The sequence below is a fragment of the Homo sapiens genome, chromosome 8 (assembly GCF_000001405.40).
Source record: "Homo sapiens chromosome 8, GRCh38.p14 Primary Assembly".
Lineage (NCBI taxonomy): Eukaryota > Metazoa > Chordata > Mammalia > Primates > Hominidae > Homo > Homo sapiens.
In genome coordinates, this window is record NC_000008.11 from 112,769,492 (window position 1) to 112,788,678 (window position 19,187).

At 34.4% G+C, this 19,187-nt stretch overlaps 1 protein-coding gene across 9 annotated transcripts in view, besides 1 other annotated feature; it reads right to left on the minus strand.

The window, feature by feature from the left end:
- The window catches only part of CSMD3 (CUB and Sushi multiple domains 3), a 1,214,012-nt gene that overhangs the window by 546,564 nt on the left and 648,261 nt on the right, over positions 1-19,187 (minus strand). The window lies entirely within an intron of this gene.
- Positions 2,783-3,482: an enhancer, noted in NCBI's record as "OCT4-NANOG-H3K27ac hESC enhancer chr8:113784503-113785202 (GRCh37/hg19 assembly coordinates)". NCBI's record gives its function as "activates a minimal SCP1, AML or CMV promoter by ChIP-STARR-seq in naive H9 embryonic stem cells {active_cell/tissue: H9 hESC(naive)}" and the evidence as "EXISTENCE:reporter gene assay evidence [ECO:0000049][PMID:30033119]".

The following is a 19,187-nucleotide window of genomic DNA, read 5'->3' on the forward strand; positions in this document are numbered from 1 at the left end:
CACATTTGCACCATCAATTAAAAACAAAGTGCTGAATTTTAAATCTTATGAATACCATGAAAATATTAGAAAAGATTTGAATATCATATTTGTGGACATTGTAGGCCTGTAACCTTCACTGGACATAATTGGCTAATAATATTTTTAATAAGTTGCACCTCAATAATTACACTTTTAGAAATATTTTATTTAATTAGATATTTTGGTTGTCTTGTAATGAATCATCATTTGATTTATTGAGAGTACATAAAAGATTTTTTCTTTTGGCTACCATCAGAGTTATAATTAAAAATCCCATATTTTCCCACAATCCATTGAACATTTATTTAAGTTGAAAAAATTATAAAATATTTTTTCACACACATACATATTACTAAAATAAAGGGAATCTATGGCAGTGACAACCTAAAATTAATGTACAATAGTGTAAATATATTACTCTCATGTGTAACTGAACACTACAATGAACCAAAATTAAATTAGATTTCTACTAAAAGCAAGTTGTATGTTAAAGATAGACAGTTTTATTAATAATAAATCAACACAAAAGCACAATTTTAGCTTTCAAATTATTGCAAATATCTTGAAATACAAAGTGGTCTGTCTTATTAATCTTCTTTTATTTCAAGTACATGAAAAATTAAAAAAAGCTCATACAACTCGTTGGCTCCATCAAGTAAACTGTTGCTATGTTTTGAATGTTTGTCCACCTCCAGAATTCATGTTAAAATTTAATTGCCAATGTAATGGTATGAGGAGGTAGGACCTTTAAAGGGTAAAGGTGGGTTTAATGCCTGTGTAAAAAAGCTCATGAAGTGGGCTCTTTTTCTTGACCCTTCCACCTTCTGCCATATGAGGAACAGCATTCCTCCCCTTCAGAGGATGAAGCGTTCAAGGCACCATCTTGGAAACAGATACTTTATTCCCACTAGACACCAAACCTACCAATGCCTTGGTTAGACTTCTCAGCCTCAGAACTGTGAGAAATACATTTCTTTTTTTTAAATAAAATACCCATTCTCAGGTATTCTGTTACAACAGTACAGAACGGACTAAGACAACCACATTTCAAGTTCATTGGGTGTTGCCTCATTGTAAAATGTACTGAAAATATTAATCTCATCAGTTCCAATATCTCTATTATGATTGTTACTCAATTACGATCTTGATCATTCATTATTTTAAGGATCATAATGAAAACTAAAAATATTGATTTAAATTTAATATACAAAAGCATTGCTTATCTATATAATATAATAACATACATTATATTTCTACATACTGACATCAATTTTTGAGAAAAGAATGAGACTTGTAATAAGAAAACCATTTAGTCAGATTTTACCTATAACAGCTATTTGACTCTGATCTATTCACTTAATTTTCCTGGCCTCCCACTTCTTCATCTGTAAACTAGGATTTTCAAACTGATGAGTTCTAAGCTGTATGTCAATTCTAATGTCAAGATTGTATAATAATGTCTGGAAAAAAATGGTGGTTGCCTGTTTCCAAATTTCCTCCACACTCCCTCTAAAAATCTATAAATAAAATCAAGGATGAAAATAAAACCATACATGCATGACATATACCTTCAACATTAATTGGAAAAAGAGAATGCTATACTCTTACTTGTCTGGAAATAGAGAAAAAGAAAAATTCCCACAGAGTCCACCTGCAAGGAGAAAGTCAAACATTCAATGTTAAAGTACCAAACACACTTGGTAGTTCACAGCACTGATTAAATGAGGAGTTTTAAAGTGTGTGGGGGCAGAGTGTGGTGGTTTACGCCTATAATCCCAGAAATTTGGGAGGTCAAGGTGGGCATTCACTTGAGGCCAGGAGTTCGAAATAAGCCTGGCCAATGTGGCAAAACTCTATCTCTACTAAAATTACAAAAATTAGCCAGACATGGTGGCAAATACCTGTAATTCCAGCTACTTGGGAGGCTGAGGCACATAAATCACTTGAAACCAGGAGGTGGAGGTTGCAGTGAGCCAAGATCGTGCCAACGCACTCCAGCCTGGGTGACAGAGTGAGACTCTGTCTCAAAAAAAGAAAAAGAAAAAGAAAAAAAAGTAAAGTGTTTGGGATTGAAAGTAGCAGTCTCAGAGAGCAATAATTAATTTCTAATGAGTGCTACTCTTTCTCTATACGTATGTATCTCCCTCACAATAAAAATAAGAACCACAACAAAAAAATAAATGAAGAATCCCAAAGAAACAAGAAGGAAACAACAATGTGTCTTATCCATACCAACACAATCTATAAAATAAATTGTAGAGAAGAGTACAGAAGAGGGCATTCTTAAACCATAAACATTGTTCATGAAATGAATAGGAATAGAAAAAAGTCAATCACATCTACACAACAATATTGTGGTAAATCAGAAATGGAAACGACGCATTTCTGAGGAAAACAATTTTCCCCCTGAAAGCAACCGAATACAGTAAATCAAATATACTCAAACACACAATTGAAGATATAAAAACTTCCTTGAATCAGAAATATAAATACTAGAATTATAAATGGACATAAAACAGATTTTAATGAAACAAAAAATGAATTAACTCAGGAAAGATACAGAAAAAATGACAAAGTCATATCAGAAATAAAGATAAATTATAAGGGGCTCAAGGTAGAAGGTTTCAAATGAAAATTTAATAAAGGGCATTGACTAAAAACTGTGGGGAAAAGAAAGAGAGATCAGATTGTTACTGTGTCTGTGTAGAAAGAAGTAGACATAAGAGACTCCATTTTGTTCTGTACTAAGAAAAATTCTTCTGCCTTGAGATGCTATTAATCTGTAACCCTACCCCGAACCCTGTGATCCCTAAGACATGTGCTGTGTCAACTCAGGGTTAAATCGATTAAGGGCTGTGCAGGGTGTGCTTTGTTAAACAAATGCTTGAAGGCAGCATGCTTGTTAACAGTCATCACCACTCCCTAATCTCAAGTACGCAGAGACACAAAACACTGCGGAAGGCCGCAGGGACCTCTGCCTAGGAAAGCCAGGTATTGTCCAAGGTTTCTCCCCATGTGATAGTCTGAAATATGGCCTCGTGGGAAGGGAAAGACCTGAAGTTCCCCCAGCCCTACACCTGTAAAGGGTCTGTGCTGAGGAGGATTAGTAAAAGAGGAAGGAACGCCTCTTTGTAGTGGAGATAAGAGGAAGGCATCTGTCTCCTGCTAGTCCTTGGGCAATGGAATGTCTCCCTGTAAAGCCCGATTGTATATTCCATCTACTGAGATAGGGGAAAACCGCCTTAGGGCTGGAGGTGGGACATGCTGGCAGCAATACTGCTCTTTAATGCATTGAGATGTTTATGTATATGCACATCAAAAGCACAGCACTTTTTTCTTTACCTTGTTTATGATGCAGAGACATTTGTTCACATGTTTACCTGCTGACCTTCTCTTCACTATTATCCTATTGTCCTGCCACATCCCCCTCTCCTGGAAACGCCCGATAATGATCAATAAATACTAAGGGAACTCAGAGGCCGGTCCCAGCACAGGTCCTCCACATGCTGAGTCCCAGTCCCCTGGGCCCATTTTTCTATCTCTATACTTTGTCTCTGTGTCTCTTTCTTTTCCAAGTCTCTCATTCCACCTGACGAGAAACGCTTACAGGTGTGGAGGGGCAACCCACCCGTTCAAAAACAGGAAAAAATGCTAACAGAATAAAAATGAAATAAAGAATAAACAAAATGGATCAGAGAGAAAGTAGCTGACATGGAAGAGAAATAAATAAGTTGATTTAGTATCCTTGAAAAAGCAAGTAAAAATGATGAAACAGAACTATTATTTACAAGTATAATCTATAAAAGTTTTCAACAATAAAGAAGTCTCCAGTCTAGACTTGAAAGGGATTACTGGGTACTGAAGAACATTGACCTGGTACAATCACTCTGAGACAAATTCTAATAAATCTTTTTGTTACAGAAAATTAAAAGAAAAAATATTAAGAGCCTCCAGGTAATAAGTTGAAATAACACACAAAAAGCATGAGAATTAGAAAGGTATCTCAACTTTCCAAAGCAACATGTACAGCAAGACAACAGTGAAGGAGTATTTTTAAGAAACTTAAGGAAGTAAGAGTGCCCTAAGCTTTCCTTTGAGTGAATAGACTACAGAAAAAAGCTTTGAACCTGAAGAACTAAAGGAATTGTACACATGTGCTCTTCTAAGGAATCTACCAGATTTTTTAGAGCTTTATTCAACCAAGAGAGGACTGGGAAAGTTTTGGCAAATTAACCGATAGTGAGAAATTTATATTTTAATTTTAGAATGAAGATGAAATAATAGGTGGGGTTATAAATAGACGAAAAGTATATAAATATTATATTTCCTGCCAAAGTAGAAAGAATGTAACAAAAAAATAGTAACATAGGGGAACTCTGCGTGAGCTTTTAGGAAAGCAAGATATAGTTTTCCAATCTACATTTGGACCTGAGGCATTGTGAGGCTAGAGCAACTACCTCCATCTTGGTACTGTCTTCACCTACTTGTCCTCTTGTTTTAAATGTTTTAAGCACACCTTGTTTCTTAATTCAAATAAAAGAGAACATATCAGCTATGGAAACTCATACTTTTTTTGGTTCTTTCTCTATAAATTTATCTGCATCAAATTCATCCTGACACATTAACTTCTGGTACATGACGACATGCCTATCCCTGCTCATGATTATTCTCTCCATCTACAACCTTGAAATGATGCCTTATAATTTTCTCACTGACACCTGGGTGCACTGTTGAGTTTTCAGTTACCTAATTGCCACCAAATCTATCAAAATTTATATTTCAGATATGTAACACACCTCTGAATTGTGGAACTTATCTACACAACATACGGACATCCACCTTTTAGCTGATAGTACCTACTTGTTTCTCAAATCTTCCTGTGAGAATTTTCCGTACTTTATTCCCAGGTTTTCCATATAAAGAGCCCAAATCTCTTTCTTGAGTTCCAGCTGCAAATTAACAGCTCCAATTTTATGCCTCACGGTGAAATTATATGCACTGAGTCGAAATCTACTTTATTTTTCTACTTCACACCTTATCTTCCCTCTTTACATTATATTTTTGTAATGTCATAGCAGCTGTTCACCCAGTCACTAAAGAAGAAAGCTGTATGTTATCTTTGATTATCCCCTATACTTCAATGCTACTTTCACACCTGTTTGGGCATTAGAGACAATTCATTTTGTCTTTTAAAGGTCTTCAGATTCTATTGGCTTTAAAACCCCAACTGTCAATATCTTGGGTAAGGGCTTCTATCTTTTCTGTATAATTGCAGTAGCCTCTTAATTCACATTTCACCTTTGATTCACTGTCTATACAATTTACAGAATAATCATATCCAAATATAAATCATATAATACAACTGATTGCTTAAATTCCTCTGATGACTTCCTAAGGTCTAAAGCCACATTTTTAATCTCATCTGCTGGTGCTCCCTCCTTGTTACCATTATGCTTCAGAAATAATAAGTACTTATAGATAGGCCTTTGGAGCCAGGCTTTCAGGATTATACACTGCTTTTTATGCAGTGTAAGATGCCCACCACTTATATGCCCCCACTTTGCTGACCTGATATCACCTCTCATCTGAAGACTGCCCTGATACCTTGTCCCTTTGTCAAATTAATTACAGGGCTTTCTCCAATGCACTACCATCATAATATAATATTATTATATGATATATTATCATAATAGAAACTTGTACTAAAACTTCTATTATTATGTTAATGGGTATACATTTTTATTTGTTCATATCCATGTCTACCTCTTGTCTAACAAGGCAGAAACTGCCTTAAAAGAAGAACTCAAGCATATAGCATCTGTCATAGCATAAATCCAAAAACTAGAAGTATTTAATAAATGTTAGTTGAATGAATCACATAAATTGTGATTTAAATATCACTGAATCAAGCTTTTATCATTTTGAATTCCTTGTTACTTATATTATATACAATAATTTATAAATTAAGTTTCGTTTTTTAGTAAGTCAAGTTGTAATCATTCTTCTTTTATTTTAAATCGTAGCAAAAAATATTTTGGTGAATAAATTAACATACTTGAAAATTTACACAGACTTTCTAGTTACAAGCAGGCAAAATAAATCAATTATTATTCACAACTGAGTGGGCCTCAAAGTCATATGATTATTTAAATGTAAGATGTGACAAACTAAAAATAAAAGTGAGTCTCACTGTCATGGATCTACTTAACCCACTTTGCCAATCTAGTTAATTCACAAAGCAATATATTTGTATTTCCTAAGCACCCATTGTGTGTTTTAACTATCTTCCATCTTTGCATAAAATATACATATTTAGAAAATGTGCTAATTTTCACAATAGTATTCTAAATCTGAATCATAAAAACTAATACCTTTTATCTATATATAGAAAGTTACCTTTATTTGCTGTAGTTTTACAATAATTAGGTCAGTATTTTGTAGGATTACAACTAAGACAGCACATTTACAACTTCTAGCATGATACTTGATATATAAAAGGTGCCCAAAAAAATGTTAGGATCTGTCTCATTCCTGACAATTGCAAGTAAGCCACATAAGGAGAAAATAGATTTTTCAGAGGACAGCTTATCTTTTAGAAAATGATAGAGCCTCATTTACATTTTCCTATTGACTCCTTATTTAAACCATGGGAAACATAACAGCCGTATCACCTGTATATGCACAATAACCATAATAATTTACATTGTGAAAGGAAATTCAGTGGATACAACAAAATAAGGTTCTTACCCAATGTTGCTTTTTAAAATTATTATTGTATTTTACCCCATTATTGAATCATATTTCTCAGTTTTTTTATTATCTTCATAAATTTTCCTACTAAATAATCCACCAAATTATTTTTCTTACGAAAATACATCATCATCTTATAAGCTTCAACTTGACTAAGATTTAGGCAACAAGAATTTGAAGTGTCAAAAAGATATAATTTACTTTCTTTCATTTACTTTTGGTATGCTGCTGTCTAAATCCTGTCTTCTAGACTAAGGTCAGATTTTCAAATCTCATATTTTCTATGGTGTCTTGCAATTCTCCATTTTCTTGAACATTAATCTTCTATTTTCAGATCTAAAAGGGTTGGAAAAATTGCCTTAAGACATATTGTGAGCAGCAAGTTTGAGGTAGTGTGAGCTTGACCAAAAATCCTATTACATATTCCTGGATGCTAATGAATATTTGAATTAATTTTTAAAATTGTCTTTTAGTTCTAAAGCAATGACCATTATATTGTTTCCTTACATTTCCCTCAGAAGTTTCTATATGTTAATTCTATATCAAGGCTGTTTGAGAAACACATCCTTGGGTAAGGAATTTTAGTTGATTCACTCGTGTGTAAAGATTAACAATAAATATACAATTTAATTTATTTTAAATCTCATCATATATTTTTATTGACCTCCCAACCTCTGCTGTAAAAGGATCCGAAACATAAATGTGGCTCTGGATAGAATGATTAAGCATGGGAAAAGCTTTTGTACATTTTTTAGTATGTTATTTTTCCATCTTCATTTTCTTCTTTTAAGCTGTATTTCTGGAGGGTTATGCATCATTTGTGACCAAAATTTGGAGATGCTGTGCCCAAAAATGAAAGACAAGCAAAAATAATAAGCACACAATATATTTACAAATACGTGTTATTGATAAAATTCAGCAAACTTTCCAGGCTTTGTCTGGTTCTTTCATTTAAGTAAAAGCAATATGAAATTTTTCTCCCACATAATTTCACAGAACACAAACCACGGAAAGAAAAGTAGTATGTTTAATGTAAATAAATATTGGTTGTATTTTATACTCTATTTTATAGCTTGTGTTGTTTGAATTTTTCTATTTGTATAAGGCATTTTCATCCTGTTTAGGATGCCTATTTAATGTATCTAACAGCTTTAAATGCAGATACTTCTTAATAAGTATTAGTTGTTGATGATATTATTTATGAACCATAACAATTGCCAGTATGTTCAAACACGATTATTTTAAAAGGTGTAAGCCAAGATATTTATACAAAGATAATTCAATTTGAGTTTCTATTGTTCCTCAAAGAAACAAAAAATGCATTTTCTTCTATTTGAGGAATTGCTTTGAAAATGCCATGACTTGGTGACCACGACTGAATTAAAAGACAGAGACAATATTCCATTTCCTTATCGCTACTAGGGATATATCAAGCAGAAAATGAAGACATTATTATTTTGAATGAGTTTTTCAAGTCAGTTTGAGTCAAAGTTTGCCTCCAACATATATTTAATGTAGTCTGCAATGTTGTGAAAGCTGAAATAAACATGAATGACACTTGAGAGCACTGGCCAGAATATGTTGCTTACTGATGCCCTGATACTTTTTTTTAACCTAAAACATTGCCATGGAAATTGAGTAGTAGACTAAATCAGAAAATCATATTAAATATATCAGTGAGAACAGCCACCTTAAGCTTTCCAATGCTTCTACTAACACAAAATAAAACATTTTATAAATATTTGTGGACAACTTTGGAAGTAGTAATGACTACTTTTTTAAAAAATCAATAATCTTTGTTTTTAGAGCAGTTTTGTGTTCGCAGCAAAATTAAACAGGAAGTACAGAGTTTTCATATACTCCCTGCCCTCCTTCACGTACAACCTCCCCAACTACCAACATCCCACACTACTATGGTACATTCGTTAAAATTAATGAAACTACACTGACACATCATTATCACCCAAAGTCCGTAGTTCACATTAGAATTCAGGCTTGGTGTTGTATATTCTGTGGGTTTTGAAAAGTATGATGGCATGTATCTACTATTGTCATATTATGTATCATAGCTTTACTGACCTAAAAATCCTCTTTGCTCTGCTTAATCTCTCTCGCTCCCACCTAATCCCTGGAAACCACTGATAATTTTATTGTCTCAATTGCCTTTTCCAGAACATCATATAGTTGAAATCATATAGTATGTAGACTTCTCAGATTGATTTCTTTCACTTAGTAAAATGCTTCTAAGTATCCTCCATGTCTTTTCATGGCTTGATAGATCATTTCTTTTTAGCGCCATAGTTTATTTATCCATTCACCTACTGAAAGACATTCTGGTTGCTTCCAAATTGACAAATATGGATAAAGCTGCTGTAAACCTCCATTTGCAGGTATTTGTGTGGACATAAGTTTTGAGTTCATTTGCGTAAATTTCAAGGAGCATGACTGCTGGATTTTATGGTAAGAGTATGTTTAGTTTTGTAAGAAACTACCAAACTATCTCTCAAAATGGCTATACCATTTTGCATTTCCACCAGCAATGAAACAGAATTTCTATTGCTCCACATCATCACCAAGATTTGTTGCCATCAGTGTCCTGGATCTGGGCCATTTTAATAGGTAGCTAGTACTATCTCATTGTTTTAATTTGCAATTCCCTAATGACATATGATGTTGAACATATTTTCATATGTTTAATTGCCATCTGTGTATCTTTTTCCAGTCTGTTCATATAATTTGCCCATTTTTTTAAATAAGGTTGGTCATTTTCTTATTGTTGAATTTTAGGCACTCATTTTGTATTTTGGATAGCAGTTTTTTATAAGATGTGTCTTTGCAAAGATTTTCTATTAGTCTGTAACTTGTCTTCTCATTATCTTGACACTGTATTTTGCAAAGATGTGTGTGTGTGTGTGTTTGCGTGTGTGTGTGTGTGTATATGTATTTAACATTGACCTCAGCAGTAGCTCAAAGTTTTTCATTAATATGTGGGTTAATCTTTGTGGCAAACTATATTATTATTTTAAAAGATTCACCCTCTTCCCTCATATTTGAGGACAGAATCTACTTTCCTGTCCCTTAAATCTGAGCTTGACAATGTGTTTGATTTAACCAATAGATTTTAGGAAAAAAATGCAAGTAGAGCTTTAAAAATAGTTGTACAATTAAAATTTTAGCCTATGAACTTTTTTCCCTTGTCAGAAAAAGACCATGCATGGCTTTGCCTACTGGACCAAGGAGAATGAATAATTCATGGGTCAAAATTCAGCCTTTAAATTCAAAATTCAGCCATCTTCAGCCCATCACAGAGTTGTGAAAAAAATAGTTGTGTTAAGCTATTGAATTTGGGATGGTCAGCACCATCAAAGTGTCCATCAAATGATGCAATGCCATATTTAGAAAATGACTTATTCATATAAATAAGTACCTCTTTGCATGTAGTCAGATCAGCCCTATTCTAAAATTCTAAATTCTAAATTTTATTCTAAAATTCTGAATGAAAATTATCAAGATTTCTTTCTCATGTGAGATAAGCAAAAAGCAAAAATCACATTGGGATTTTATTTAATCAAATGAAGAACTCTGATCTCCTCTGCTGTTAAAAAATCAAATTCTGTAAACCTAAATGTCACACATATATCCTATTTTATCTTCTACTTACAGTAAATAAGGAATACCATTTTACTAATATTTCACTAATGTTTCTTCCACTTGAATTAATATTTTTCTTTGATTTAGAATTTCTTCCCCAATTAGATATAATAAATAATCACCACTATATCATATTTAAAATTAAATGATTATTGACATTGAGGGGAAAACACATTCTTTTCATAGGAATTGTGGTGATTATAGATTATTTGACAAAGTTCTTATACAGTAACGCAAATGTATTTGTCAATGTGACAATTACATATACCCTGGCGCCATGTAGAAACGCAAAGTGTGAAGCAATATAGTACAATATAAAGTGGCATTCTCAGATACAATAGTGTATAGTTCCCCATTGGCTCAGGCACTACTTATAGGAACTATAAGAGAAGTCAAACAATCTTTTTGAGTCTCAATTTCCTTATCTTAAAGGAAATGAATATATTCAATAAAATTATCTAATCATCTCTACCAGATTGAAAGGGCAAAGTAAGGCAGCTGAATAGAATCCTCCAGTGACCGTCAACATCTGACACACAAAATCATCAAATTGAACATCTATCCACACAAGAAAGCACTTCTGTAAGAACCAAAAATCAGGTGAGCAACCACAGTACCTGCTTTTAATATCATGTCAAGGAAAGAGACACTGAAGGGGGAAGTAAAGACAGCCTTGCACTGCCTACACCACACCTCCCACATCGTCCAGCAGCAGTGGGGCACACAGAATCTGTGTGCTTGGAGTAGGGAGAACACAACAATTGCGTGACTTTGCATAGGAACTCAGTGTTGCCCTGTCAGAGTGGAAAGCAACATAGGGCAGAATTCAGCTGGTGTCCATGGAGGAAACATTTAGACCAATCCTGGCCAGAAGGGAATTGTCTATCACAGCAGTGGGAATCTGAGTTTGGACTAGCCCTACTACCATAGGCGAAAGTGGTCTGGGCTCTAAATAAATTTAAAAAGCAGTCTAAGCCATGAGGACTGGAATTCCTTGACAAATCCTGGTGCTGTGCTGGGCTCAGAGCCAGTGAATATGAGGTTCATACAACCTAGTGAGACACCAGCTGGGGCAGTTAAAGGAGAGCTTCTGTCACCCACCCCTAACTCCAGGCAATGCAGCTCCAGGAGAGTCTGTTGCTGCTTGAGGAAAGGAGAGGATAGAGTAGAGGATTTGTCTTGCATCCAGCTCAGCCATAGTAAAATAAATCAACAAGCAGACTCCTAAAGTCCCTGATTCCAGGTATTTATAGACCTGCCCTGGCCAGAAGGAAAGCACTTCTCTGAAGGAAAAGACCCAGGCCTGGAAGGATTCTGCATAATCTGACTAAAGAGTCTTTGGGCCTTAAATAAACATTAGTGGTAGCCCGGCAGTACTTACCATGGTTGTAGAACAGGGATGGCCATGAGGTGAGACTCCTTCTACTTGAGGAAAAAAGAGGAAAAAGTAAAAAGAACTTTGTCTTGCAACTTGGGTACCAACTCAGCTACAGTAAAATAAGGCACCCAATAAATAACTAAAATTCATAACTCCAGATGCTAGCTCACAGACAACATTTCTAGATTCACCTTGGACCAGAAAGAAACCAACCACCTGGAAGAGAATGGCACTAGTCTGGTAGGATTCATCATCTGCTAACTAAAGAGCACTTGGACCTTGAATAAACACCAGCAGTAGACAGGCAATAGTTGCCACAGGCCTTCGGAGACAGCCAGTACTGTGATGGCTTCAGCTGTGACCCAACATAGCCCCAGTGGTGCTGACCACAGGAGTACTTGTGTCATCCCTCCACCAACTGCAGGCAGCTCAGCATAAAGACAGAGAGACTCTGTTGGGAGGAAAGTAAGTGAAGAGAACAAGTGACTCTGCCTGGTAATCCAGGGAAGTCTCCTGAATCTTACCTAAGACCACTAAGGCAGTATCTCCATAAGACTGCAAGATTTATAGCGTTACTGGGCTTGGGGTGCCCCTTAATGCGGATATGGCAGTAGTCACAAAATACTTAATCACAATACTCAATGCTTTTTGATTACTTGGAAAGTCTTCTCAAGAAGGACAAATACAAACAAGCCCAGACTGTGAAGATTGCAATAAATACCTAACTCTTCAATGCCCAGGCATCTACGAACATCCACAAACATCAAGACCATTCAGGAAAACATCATCTTACCAAATGAACTAAAGAAAGGACCAGTGACCAATCCTGTAGTGAAAGATATTCAAACAAAGAATTCAAAATAGCTGTTTTAGGAAGCTCAATGAAATTCAAGATAACACAGAGAAGGAATTAGAATCCTACCAAATAAAAAAAAATTAACACATAGATTAAAATATCTTTAGTAATAAAGTAGAAATTATGGAGCTGAAAAAGGCAATTGACATACTGAAGAATGCATCAGTCTCCCAACAGCAAAATTGATCAAACAGAAGAAACAATTAGTGACCTGGAAGACAGGCCATTTGAAAACACAGAGTCAGAGCAGACAAAAGAAAAAAGAATAAAAATAATAAAGGATGCCTAAAAGATCTACAAAATAGCCTCAAATGGGAAAATCTAAGAGTTATTGCCTTTAAAGAGGAGGTAGAGAGAAAGATCAGGGTAGAAAATGTATTCAAAGGGATAAAAACAAAGAATTTTCCAAACCTAGAGAAATATGTCAATATTCAAGTGCTAGAAGGTTATAAAACATCAAGCATATTTAATCCAATTAAGAATACCACAAGGCATCTAATAATCAAACTCCTAAAGGTCAAGGATAAAGAAAGGATTTTAACAGCAGAAAGAGAAAAGAAACAAATAGCATACAATGGAACTCCACTATGCCTGGAATCAGATTTTTCAGTGGAAACCTTACAGGCCGGGAAAGAGTGACATAACATATTTAAAGTGCTGAAAGAAAAAAAAAATCTATAGTAGTATACCCAGTGAAAATAACCTTCAAACATGAAGGAGAAACAAATACTTTCCCAGACAAACAAAAACTGAGGGATTTTGTCAACATCAGACCTGTCCTATAAGAAACGCTTAAGGAAGTTCTTCAATCTGAAAGAAAAAAATGTTAATAAGTGATAAGCATTTATATAAAGGTAAGACATTCACTGGTAATAGTAAGTACACAGATAAAAAAGAAAAACACGGTAATTGTGGCGTGTAAACTACTCATGTTTTTAGTGGGAAGGCTAAAATATGAACCTTTCAAAACTAATAACTACAACAAATTCCAAGAAGTAGTATAATGACATAAACAGACATAATAAAAATTTTTAAAATGTGGGGGATAAAGAGTAGAGTTTTTATCAGTTTTCTTTCTGCTTGTTAATTTGTTTTGCAATAAGTGCTGTTAATAGTTTAAAATCATGGGCTATAAGATATTATTTCCACATCTCATGGTAACAAAAACTACAACAGATACACAAAAAAATAGAAAGCCAAGAATTAAAACATACCATCAGAGAAAATCACCAGCACATAAACGAAGGAAGGAAGGAAGGAAGGAAGGAGGGAGGGAGGGAAGGAAGGAAGGAAGGAAGGAAGGAAGGAAGGAAGGAAGGAAGGAAGGAAGGAAGGGAGAGAAGGGAGGGAGGGAGGGAGGAAGGGAGGGAGGGAGGGAAGGACGGAGGGAAGATTATAAAACAACTAGAAAAATAACAAAATGAAGGTAGTGAATTCTTACTTATCAATAATAACATTGTGTGTAAATGGGCTAAACTCTCCAATCAAGAGACATAGAGTGACTAAATGGATTTTTAAAAAGTCCTAAATATCTGCTGCCTAGAAGAAACACACTTCACTTACAAAGATACACATGGACTGAAAATACATGGATGGAAAAAGATATTCCATGCAAAAGGAAACAAGAAAAAAGCAGGAGTGGCTATACTTATATCAGATAAAATAGATTTCAAGACAAAAAAAAAACATAAAAAGAGACAAAGAAGGTCAATACATGTTGATAAAGGGGTCAATCCAGCAAGAGGATATAAAACTATACATATATATGTACTCAACACCAGAGCACTCAAATATATAAAGCAAATATTAGTGCTAAAGAAAGAGATAGATTCTAATACAATTATAGCTGGAGATTTAGCATTCAAGTTTCAGCATCAGACAAGTTATCCAGATAGAAAATCAACAAAGAAACACTGGACTTAATTAGCAGGATAAGCCAAATGGTCCTAATAGATATTTGCAGATAGAATAAAACTAGAAATAGATAACAAGAGGATAAATACATGATAATTAAGCAATATGCTCCTGAATGACCAGTGGATCAATAATGAAATTAAGAAGGAAATTTTAAAATGTCTTGAAACAAATGATAATGGAAACATAACATACCAAAACCTATTAGATACAGCAATAGCAGTACTAAAAGGAAAGTTTATAGCAATAAGCTCCTACATCAAAAGAGTAAAAAAACTTCAAATAAACAATCTAATGATAAATCTTAATAACTAGAAAAGCAAGAGCAAACCAAACCTAAAATTCGTAGAAACAATAGAGATCAGAGCAGAAATAAAGAAAATTGAAACAAAAAAAATACAAAAGTTCAACAAAATGAAAATTTGTGTTTCAAAAAGAAGCAAAATAAACAAACCTTATGTCATACTAAGATACAAAAAGAGATGACTCAAACGAATAAAATCAGAGATGGAAAAGGAGATATTACAACTGATACCACAGAAATTCAAAGGATCATTAGATGCTACTGTGAGCAACTATATGCCAAGAAACTGGAAAACCTAAAAGAAATGAATCAATTACTAGACACATACAACCTACCAACATTGAAACATAAAGAAATCCAAAACCTTAATACACCAATAACAAGTAATGAGATTGTGGCCATAATAAAATGTCTTCCAGCAAAGAAAAACTTGGGACCCAATGGATTCAGTTGATTTTACCAAATATTTAAAGAAGAGCAAATACTAATCTTACTCAAAGTAGTCCAAAAAATAGAGGATGAGGGTATATGTCCAAACTCATTCTACAAGGACAATAGTATCCTGATATCAAAACGAGACAAAGACACATCAGAAAAAGAAAGCTATAGGCCAATATGTTTGATGAACATTGATGTAAAAATCCTCAACAAAATACTCCCAAACCTAATTCAACAATGCATTAAAGAGATCATTCATTATGACCAAGTGGCATTCATCTCAGGGATGCAAAGATGGTTCAACATCTGCATACCAATTAATGTGATATAGCATATTAATAGAATGAAGAACAAATCTATATAGTTATTTCAATTAACAATGAACAATCATTTGATAAAATTCAACATCCTTTCATGATAAAAACCCACAAAAATGAGTATAGAAGGAACATACATCAACAGAATAAAAGCCATATACAACAGACACACAGGTAGTATAATACTAAATAGGAAAAAAATGAAAGCATTTCTTCTAAGATCTGGAGCAAGTCAAGGATACCCACTTTCACCACTATTATTCAACATAGTACCAGAAATTGTAGCTGGAACAATAAGACAAGGGAAAGAAATAAAGGGCATCCAAGTTGGAAAGAAAGAAGTCACATTATCTTCATTTACATGCAATATAAATTTATATTTGGAAAAATCTAAAGAGTCTACCAAAAACCTGTTAGAACTGATTTTAAAATTCAGCAAAGTTTCAGGATAATAAAATCAACAGGCAAAAATCAGTAGCATTTCTATCTGCCAACAATCTGAAAAAGCAATCAAGACAAGTGAACAATCTGAAAAAGCAATTAAGACAGTAATCCCATTTATGATAGCTACAAATAAAATAAAATACCTAGGAATAAATTTAATCAAAGAAGTGAAAGATCTCTACAATGAAAATTATAAAACATTTACGCAAGACATTTAAAAGAACAGGAAAAAAAGGAAAGATATATTACATTTATGGATTAGAATAATCAGTATTATTAACATGTCTATAAAGCAATCTGCAGATTTAATGCAATCCCTATCAAAATACCAATGACATTCTTCACAGAAAAAGAAAAAATAATCCTAAAATGTATATGGAACCACAAAAGACCCAGAATTGCCAAAGCCATCCTGAGCAAAAAGAACAAATCTAGAGGAATCACATTACTTGACTTCAAATTATACTACAGAGCTATAGTAACCAAAACAGCATGGTAGTGGCAATAAAAACAGACACACAGACCAAGAAAACAGAATCAAGAACCCAGAAATAAATCCATACATTTGCAATGAACTCATTTTCAACAAAGATGCCAAGAACATACACTGGGGAAAGGACAGTCTCTTGGATAAATGGTGCTGAGAAAACCTGATGTTCATATGCAGAAGAAGGAAGCTAGACCCTTATCTCTTGCCATAGGCATAAAACCAGATCAAAATGAATTAAAGGCTTAAATTTAAGACCTGAAACTACTAAAAGGAAACACTGGGGAAACTCTCAGGACATTGGTCTGGGCAAACATTTCTTATTTATTACCCCAAAAGCACAGGCAGCCAAAGCAAAAAGGGACAAATGAAATTATGTCAAGTTTAAAAGCTTTTGCTGTGGCAAAGGAGGCAGGGTGAAGAGAAAACACACAAAATGGGAGAAAATATTTGCAAACTATCTATTTGACAAAGGCTTAACAACTAGAATATATATACAACTCAATAGGAAAAAAAAAACCAATAATCTGAATAAAAAATGGGCAAAGATCTAATCTGAATAGATATTTCTCAAAAGAAGACATGCAAATGGAAAACATGTATATGATAAGGTGCTCAACATCATTGATTATTAGAGAAATGCAAATCAAAGCTACAGTGAGATATCATGTCACTCTGATAAAAAAGACTTTTTTTATTATTATACTCTAAGTTCTGGGATACATGTGCAGAATGTTCAGGTTTGTTACATAGGCATACACGTGTCATGGTGGTTTGCTGCATGCATAAACCCAAAATCTACATTAGGTATTTCTCCTAATGTTATCCCTCCCTAGCCCCTCACCTCCCGACAGGCCCTGGTGTGTGATGTCCTCCCTATGTCCATGTGCTCTCGTTGTTCAACTCCCACTTATGAGTGAGAACATGCAGTGTTTGGTTTTCTGTTCCTGTGTTAGTTGGCTGAGAATAATGGTTTCCAGCTTCATCCAGGTCCCTGCAAAGGACATGAACTCATCCTTTTTTGTGGCTGCATAGTATTCCATGGTGAATATGTGCCACATTTTCTTAATCCAGTCTATCATTGATGGGCATTTGGGTTGGTTCCAAGTCTTTGCTATTGTGAATAGTGTTGCAAGAAACATATGTGTGCATGTGTCTTTATAGTAGAATGATTTATATTCCTTTTAGCATCTACCCAGTAATGGGATTGCTGGGTCAAATGATATAAAAATGAATTTCTTCCAAATTTTATCCAAAAAACAGGCAATAGTGAATGGTGAATTCTGGCAAGGATGTGGAGAAAAGAGAACTCTCATACACTGTTGGTGAGAATGTAAATTATTACTATGGAGAACAGTATGGAGGTACCTCAAAATACTGCTAGGTATGTACCCAAAAGAAAGAAAATCAGGTTATTTAAGATATATCTGCACTCCCATATTTGTCGCAGCACTATTCACAATAGCCAACATTTGGAATCAACCTAAGTGTTCATCAACAGATGAAGGGATAAAAAAACTGTGCTGCATATACACAATGGAGTATTATTCAGCCAGATAAAAGGTGAGCTCCTGTCATTTGGAACAACATAGATGGAACTGGAGGACAACATGTAAAGTGAAATAAGCCAGGCACAGAAAGACAAACTTCACACATTCTCACTCATTTGTGGAAGCTAAAAATTGAACAGTTGAACTCATGGAGATAGAGAGTAGAATGATGGTAACCAGAGGCTGGGAATGAAAGTGGGGTGGTCGGGAGAGGAGGTATGTGGTGGTGACTGGATACAAAAATACAGTTAGATTGAATGAATAAGATCTTGTATTTAATAGCAGAACAGGGTGACTACAGTGAAAAATAATTTAATGTACATTTTAAAATAATTAAAAGAGTTTTATTGGAATGTTTGTTAACACAAAGAAATGACAAATGTTTGAAGTGATGGATACCCCACTTACCCTGATGCACTTATTATACACTGTAGGCCTGTATCAAAATATCTCATTTATCCATAAATTTATATCCCTACCATGTACCCATAAAAATGAAAAATTAAATTTTTGTTTTAAAAAAGTCTCTTTCAGCTCCAATGTTCTATGATTCCCCTACTTTAATAAATACTGACCCTTGTCTTCAGGGGAAAATTGGGAAACCTGCATACATGAAAAGGGAGGAGTGTTCTTTTGCCTGCATTGGAGAAATGGACATCTTTTGTCATCATAGCTATATACATGCCTTTTACACCAAATCATGGCATGTTCTTTCCTGTCTTTCAGCTTTATCTAGTACTACTCCTAAAACACCTCTCTCTCCATTCCCACCACGCATCCTAGAATTCTCTCAGCTCCAATGGAACCACTTGCACACATTGGTTATGCTGCCCCAGTTCCCACCTCCTACTTAGCCACAGGTCTCATTCAAAGTTCACCGCCTCTGGAAATCTTTCCTTGAAGGCTGCATTAGGTGTCTTATTATAGTCTCCAAAAAACACATTCTGTTTTTCATTTTTAGTATTAATCGCACTTAAAATTATTTTTAAGTATCAGTCTTTGTCCCACTAAACTGAAAATAATGACTAAGTCTTTTATATTTTACAATGTACCCTATCCCCTTCACAATGCCTGGCA